The following is a 7,981-nucleotide window of genomic DNA, read 5'->3' on the forward strand; positions in this document are numbered from 1 at the left end:
GTTCAAAACTGTCTCTCCTCTCCACCCCACTGGATTTCCCAGCTCCAATCAGGGGCTCTCCCAAGCCTCCATCCTCTTATTGCCCCCCTCCCCCACCATTCCCCTGGGAATGTCATCTTGTTCCTCCTCTCTCTTGCTTACGGACAGGCAGTTGCTGGGTGCAGGGATTTTGCCTTCCAGGGTCCATTCCTTCCTGGACCCATTTCATGCCACTGCTGGTCTCAGCCTGGATCCCCTCATCCCAGATTCTGGCCACGGCCTCCTAACTGGTCTCCCGGATTTGGCCTTTCTCCTCTAATATAGCTTTCACTCTGACAATTGATAGTCTTTCAAGAGCACAAGCTAGAACAGCCAGAAGCCTTCCGTGGTTTCCCATTCCCTAGCACCAGATACAATCCTGTCTTCTTTGGTGCACAGTTTGTGAAGCACACCAAATGTTTGACCCTGGAGGTGTCCAAGCAGGAGCAGAACGAGCACTGAGTGGGACAGGTGCCCGCATGCAGAGGGATTTATCCACTGGATACATGGTGGAGGGAGATGGGAGGAGGGAGTTAAACTAAATGACTTTTAAAGTTTCCTTTCAAGCCTGACTTCCCATGATTCTGGGAACTCTTTGGTCTGCCATGCAGGTCCTACCACCATCTGACCCCTGAAAAGTGATGCCTCCTGCAAAGTGATGCCAGACAGTCCCCTATAATGCTCCTCACATGGTCCTGCACATGGTTACCCCACCTCTATAGGATGACTTCTTTTAATTGTCTTTTTTTTTAATTACAAAAGTAACACTCCTTGGTGCAACAAAATAAAACAACACTGAAGTATTAACATGAAGTCCTCAACCACTGCACTCCCATGGGTAGCCACTGGTTTCAGCAGAATGTATGCCCTCCTAGTCCTTTCCTATGACACACACTCCATTCACTTGACACCTGGTCTTATGCTGTGCCTTAGGAAGAAGGATATTTAATTCTTATCTGCATTGACTTATCTCTCCAGTTCCCTAAGGTAGTAAGGCTAATTAGTTCATCTGCTTCAAATGCTGTTATTCCACCAATGAGGAATTGAAAGGGAAGGAGATAAGGTTTCTTGCTCAAAATCACAGATTAGCTGGTGGCAGAGTTAAGACCAGACCAAGAACTCCTAACTCAATGTTGGTTATTACACTGTAAAGTGCTCTTCTCCTCCCCACCGTGCAGAATATCATATTGTACAGACAGCAGGTAGAAATAATTGCCTCTTGAAAGCATAGGGGCAGGATAGTCCAGTGGTTAAGAACTTGGACTTTGAACTCAGGCTGCCTAGGTTAGAATCTGGCTGTCATTTACTTAACTATGTGACCTGAGTCAAGCAACTGGGCCTCAATTTCATCATCCCTTCCTTATAGGACTGTTGTAAAATTAGTAGCTTAATATCTGTAAACCCCTCAAAACAGTATATATGTTAATAAAACATGCTATCCTACCTCTAATGTAACACCCAAAATACAATAAATATCTTCCTTATTAAAACATAGGCTGGCAAATCAAAACCAAATCTTGTTAGCTCTGAATTTTGTCTAAAAATAAATTAGCATGGGTGAAAACTCACACAATATTAGTCCAAAACAGATTTAAGTGACACAAGAACTGTAATCATTACTACAGGAAGGAATGACCTCATAAAGACCTCATACATCAGAAGCATTGTAACATTTACTGCACCAAATAATAAATTTTTAAAAAAATCTTAACAGCCTCTATCAGTAATTATCTAAGTAAAGTGGGCTGCAAATCTGTTAGAGAACTGTTTTTGCCATGATAATATTTCTAGTAAATTGCTGCTTCTATACCAAAACTACTGGTGTTGCAGAACCGGCAGGCTAATAGAAAGATTATTATAGAAACACTATTAAAATGAATCAGGTATTATTAAAGATTCAACACTACAACGGCGCCTGATTACAAGAGATTTCAAGCTGTATTGCTTAACGAGCAGATAAAAGTGCTAATTAAGTCCACTCTTAGAGGTTATCCCTAGGCAGGACTGTACACTTATGTAGCAAGAGGTCTTCAGACTAAATGAGGAACCAGTAATGCCAACCCGGCTGGATACAGCCCTACTGGGAAGATAGGGAGAGAATGAGAAGAGCCAAGATTTTCTGCGCACGAAGGTAACCTGGTAAAGCAGACAAGTATCCAAACTTATTTAAACCTCAGTGTTTTTCTTAACTGAGGAACACTCAGTTAATCAGCAACACTTCTGATTCCTCCTTTCTTGAATGAAGAAAACCAAATAACCCACCATAAACTGAAGACCCTCAATAAACGGCACAATCAGCGGGAGGCAGAGAAAGCCGTGCCATTATTACCAAAGCCTCCTCGAGCAACCAGAAGACATGGAATCGCTCTCTCACCTTGGCCAAAAGCATCTCTCCATGCAACCAGAGCCTAGAGCTCTCAGAGGTTTTTAAAGAGTTGCCAGACTGAAGGCATTTCGTTCCAGGATCTATTTAGCTTTCCCACCTTGTTAATTAACTAATTAGGGATGGGAAAGCAACTCACCAATACAAAGTGTCAGGAAAATGCTAAGTAAATTTGTCCAACTGGTCTAAATGTCAATGCTAACTTAAGAAAGGGGGCAAGCGCGAGAGACTGAGCCGTCCCCAGACTGCTGCAATCCAGAGCTCGCTAACGTAGAGACGGAGAGACCCGGGCGCCCTGCAGCAGCAGCCTCCCGGCCCAGAGCCGGGATGCCGGCAGGACTTCTGGAAGGGAAACCTGGACCAGGGCCACCCCGGGCACAGGGAACGCGGCTGGCAAGGCGCATCCTCGCCGCTCAGTCTCCGTCTCCCCGCATCTCTCAGACGTCAACAAACCCCTGACCACAAAGTGAAACTTTCCCGGCCCCCGCTGTCGCGCCAGGTCTCTGCCCTCTGCCTGGGAGCGCGTTGCGGGGACAGGTGTGGGGCCCGGGCTGAGGAGGGGCCCCCGCCCCAGGACCGGAGGTTGTGTAATCGGCCCGGGAAGGGGGGCTCGGGACAGCTCCCTGCGCCGGAGCTGCGGAGGCCAGACGGGGGACCCCAGCTGAGGGGGCCGGCGCCCGGAGGCGTTGGGGGGATGGGGAGGGCTCTCGTCCCGCCCCCCGGGACCGCCCCCGGGCGCAGTCGGGAGCTGCGGCGCTGACACGGCCCGGAGAGGGCGCCCGCGCGTCAGACCGAGCCCGAGGAGGGGGGCGCGATGGCTCGGCAGCCGCGGCCAGCCTTACCTGCGCGCCGGGCCGGGGCGGCGGGAGGCGGCTTGGGATGCCGGGGTGGCGGGCGGCGGGCGGCAGCGCTGGCAGCCACCCGGGCCACGGCATGCGAGGAGCCGTGGCGCGGCGGCGGGCGCGGGACTGACAGCCCCAGGCCCCGCCTCCAGACCCCGGGCCCCGCCCCCTTCCTGGCCGCGCGGCTTGCCCCGCCTCCTCCGCCCACCGCCGGGGTCAAACTGGGTCCATCGGCCCGGAGGGCGGGGATGCTCGCTTTCGATTGGCCTCAAAGGTGCCCGCCCCGCCTACTCCCCGCCCCTTCCTTGGCAGGGAAGAGGCGCGTGCGCCGTGGCTGGGGAGGGTAGCGGTTACGCTGAGCGCCGGCGTTGCTGGTCCCCGACCCCTGGTACCCGGGCATCGTTTTTTCATCCCGGGCAGCTGGGACCCCGGGATGACCTAAGGAACAAGGATTCAGACGCAGACTCCACGGTGAATTGGCCTTATTCACGTGTGAACGAACGTCCAGGAGAAAACCAAACCCGAATGGGCCAGGCTCTAACCAGAGGAGACCCCAAAACTGTGATCTGCATCAGAAAACGAACCAGCCAGCCGGTTCCCGGCTCTGCCAGGTCTAGGGGTGCTTTATTCAAGCCCTGGGTTCGCTCCCTGGTCAGCAAGTATGAGGTATTTGCAGAGGGTCTAGAAGATGTGAAGGGAGATTAGCCCGCATTTAGGACTGTGCCAAACAGAGAGTGAGTGATGCTGAAGAAAGTGGCCTCCTCTGCTCCAGCCCTCCCTCCTCCTCCCCAACCCCTGGCTCTACCACCTCTCCCTCAGCACCGGCGCCCTACCCTCAGCCTGTAAACAGTATCAGGTCTCGCCCAACAAAAATCAATGGAGACCCAGCAATTCCACTCAAGAGAACTAGAAACATGTCTGTACTAAAACTTGTACACAAATGTTCATAGCGGTGTATTCAGAAGGCCAAAAAAGGAAACAACTGAATGTCCACTGATTGACAAATGGATGAGCAAATTATGGTCTATCCATACAATGGAATAGTATTCTGCCATAAAAAATAATAAGGCCGGGCATGGTGGCTCACGCCTGTAATCCCAGCACTTTGGGAGGCCGAGGCGGGCGGATCACGAAGTCAGGAGATCGAGACCATACTGGCTAACACAGTGAAACCCCGTCTCTACTAAAAAAAAATACAAAAAATTAGCCGGGCGTGTTGGCGAGTGCCTGTAGTCCCAGCTAAGTGGGAGGCTGAGGCAGGAGAATGGCGTGAACCCGGGAGTCAGAGCTTGCAGTGAGCCGAGATCGCACCACTACACTCCAGCCTGGGCAACAGAGCAAGACTCCGTCTCAAAAAAAAAAAAAAAAGAAAGAAAGAAATTCTGTTACATGCTACAACATGGATGAACCTTGAAAACACTATAGTGCTCAATGAAAGAAACCAGTCACAAAAACCCACATAGTGTATGATTCTATTTATATGAAATGTCCAAAACAGGCAAATCCATAGAGACAGTAGACTAATGGTTGCCAGGGACTGGGAGGAGGGGGGACTGAGGAGTGACTGCTTAATGAGTACAAAGCCTCTTTGGGGGGTGATTAAAATGTTAAGGAATTAGACGGTGGTGATGACTGTACAACTTTGTGAATATAATAAAAAACCACATAACTGTATAAAAGGGTGAATTTTATGGTATGTGAATGATATTTTAATTTAAACCAAAAATCCAAATGACCAAAAAATTTAAAAAATTAAAAAAAAAAAACCTCTCTTGACTCTGTATGCCCTCCAAGTTACCATGCAGTTAACCAGCCCTTCTCATCCAAGATTCTTGCAAGGGTAGCCCACACGTTTTTACTCCCACTTATACATTAGCTCCCTAGAATGTGGCTTCTACCTGCACCAGAGCTCAAATCTGCTCTCTCCTTGAAATTTTATCCTGTGGCTTTCTATGACCCTGCACATTCCTGGTTCTCCTCCTCCTTCCGTTCTTTGTCATTTGATCTTATTTTCTTGGCAAATCTATTTTAATCTCTTCAAAGATCAAAACTTATTTTGATCTCTTCTGTGGCTTCTTCCAGAATCCTTCCTAGGTTATGTCGTCCATGCCTATGAGTTCAGTTCAGTTACTATGCTTCAAATTCTAGCCTCCACCTGATGTCCCACAGAGTTCTTAAACTTGGCATGTCATAAGCTATTTGTCATCTCCCCTTCCCCATCCTCTATCTTCTCTCCAGTAATAATATCTACTACCACATTCTAGGACCTGGGAATCATCCTTGATTCTGTCGTCTTCCTTCTCCTAAAGTCAATCACCGATTTTTATCTCATAAATATTCATAAATCCCACAATACTACCACAGCCCTAGTCCATATCTCCACTGTCTTTTGACTTTTAATTCCCTTCGTCTTTAGTGCCCTTCAGATCTAGTTTCCACACAGCTGTTGAAGTGGACACCCATTACTTCAGCAAGCGTTAGCTCTTTCTTAGGGTCACATCACACTGATTTTCCTTCAGGAACTCACTCCAAGAGATATGGGCTTGGGGAGACTGCCAGTGAAGATGATGACTTTACCTGGCCCAGGCCTGGTGTGCCCCCAAGCTGGAGCACTATGACATCTTTCATTTGGAATTTGAATCCTAGGTGGAATAACGCTGGAGGCAGTTGGCCCTGATACTTCCTGACCAAGGGGACTTGCAGTTGATTCCTGCTATGTAGTCCCTGGGAAATTCCTTCAGAGCCTGGGTTCTTCAAATTTTTATTGGGTTTTCTGAAGGATCCCATATCTCTCCAATGCGCTCCCCTGTAGGAACTTAATTAGAATTATCTTCAACCAAAGAATCTGATATCGAAATGTGTCTGAGAAGCAAACCAGGTCTTTACTGAAAACTCATTAGAGGCATTCCATCACCTACGGGAAAGACACCAAGCTCCGTAATACAAGCCCCAAGACCCTCCATTACTCTGTTCCAGGCTGCCTATCTGCACCTTCTCGCCCTACTCCTTACCTTGCCCTTACATCTCTGCCCTTCTGAATTATTTGAGGTTTCACATAACCTATGAGGTTTCATGCCTCAATACTCATGAGTCCCCTCTGTAGAAGCCCTCCCTGCTCCCATCCAGCCCACTTGAGAAAGCCTTCCCTGGCTCTTCCCTGATCCCAACATTCTGCCTTCCTCTGTGTTCTCAAGGCACCTGAGTTTCCCACCCACTCACTGTCATGGTATTTCACCTACCTGCTTTGTTATCTGCCTCTCCCACCAAACATGGAGTTCCTGGAGGGCTATGCCTTCTTTTCTGTTTCTCTGCCTCCATAATTCGTGAGTAAGAGAAAGGATCCCAATACAGGACATTAACAAATCTTTTGACCAGAGAGATGAAAATCCAGGCTGGAGGCATCTCATATAGGCTATCAAAAAAATTTATTCCTGTTCTGAAATACATTCCAGAACACTGCCAAGACCCTGGTAAGACTGGCGGACACTTATTTAAATGATAGCTCTCATTCTCTAAAATCTGAATTTCTCCTGAAAGCCTTCATGCTTTAATGAGATTCAAAATTAATTAACTCAGACAATTGTCTTCATCACTGTGACTAAATGACAAAGTGTGTTTTTGTACATATTTTTGTACATATTTGAAGAATAAACAGAATGTAAGCAAGCAAATCCATGGTTCTGTTTGGATGGCTATTGTGAAACACGTACCTTAAGTGGAATTATATAACCATCCATCTGCAAACGTTGAGTGAGGAGAGCTGGATTTCAGTCACAGCTTATCCATGACCAGCAGCTTGACCTTGGATAAGTCATTGCCCTTGGACACCTGCTGTCAGCCTTCCCAGTATCCATTTCTTTATTCTCCCACCATTGGAACCCCCACCCCCCAAAAAATTTGGGAAACCACTTTTTCTCCATTCTAACCTATATGGTATTAAGGTTGTTCACCTGACCCCAGACTCCAGGAGTTGGGCCTGATTGTCTTAAAGCCATTGTTTCTATCCCATCCACCTGGCTACAGAAGTTAGTTTAAAGGCAGTCATGAAACCCAATCAGAGCAAAGGGATTTGAAACACACTTGCAAACGGCTTCTGGCAAAGAAAAGATTCCTCTGCCTGTAGTAGATCCTACCAATGATAGATTGATGATAAATCCATGATAATGTGACCACTTGGATAGAGATGAGATTGCCAGGCAGTGAAGGAATACTGAGGAAAGCAGAATGGGAAAAGAAGCAGAACGTTGGTTATACTGCTGGGCAGTGAACAACTGGATCAAACAACACCTGAAGCTGATAGACCTCTATACGCTTCAGTTATGTGAACCAATCAATTCCCTTTGTTGTTGGAATTTAGTTTTCTGTCTATAACATAAACAGTTCTAACAGTAACAATCTCTCTGGGCCTCCATTTTTCATAGATAAAAGTAATACGGATAACATCTAAGGAGGCTGCTGGAGTGCCAGGAGGAGGCCGTGGGAACACCGTCACCTGGTCCCAGGGCCTGGATTCGCTGCTTCCAGCCAAACACGCGCATATCAGGCCGGGGCCTTCAGACCTCACGGAAGGCATTCGCCCCAGGCCAGGTGGACTTCTGATGCAGGTTGAGAACAAAAAGAAGCACCTGGACATTCCCCGGAGCCCTCTGCGTGGTCGCGCTTCAGTGGAATTTGGGGACCCTTGGCTGCCAGCCATGCTTGCTTGATAGCAACAGAAACCAGTTCTGCCCGACTCTGT

The 7,981-nt window shown here is 48.1% G+C and overlaps 1 protein-coding gene across 1 annotated transcript in view, besides 1 other annotated feature; it reads right to left on the bottom strand.

Moving 5' to 3' along the window:
* HIVEP3 (HIVEP zinc finger 3) overlaps positions 1-3,371 on the bottom strand; it is a 529,570-nt gene extending 526,199 nt beyond the window's left edge. Inside the window, exon 1 of the transcript NR_038261.2 lies at positions 3,244-3,371. The gene's annotated coding sequence lies outside the window, so the exon portion shown is untranslated. The remainder of the gene's footprint in view (positions 1-3,243) is intronic.
* Positions 2,859-3,628: a silencer, noted in NCBI's record as "silent region_756". NCBI's record gives its function as "represses an Ori minimal core promoter by ATAC-STARR-seq in GM12878 lymphoblastoid cells {active_cell/tissue: GM12878}" and the evidence as "EXISTENCE:reporter gene assay evidence [ECO:0000049][PMID:35858748]".

The sequence above is a fragment of the Homo sapiens genome, chromosome 1, assembly GCF_000001405.40.
Source record: "Homo sapiens chromosome 1, GRCh38.p14 Primary Assembly".
In the NCBI taxonomy this organism is placed as follows: Eukaryota; Metazoa; Chordata; class Mammalia; order Primates; family Hominidae; genus Homo; species Homo sapiens.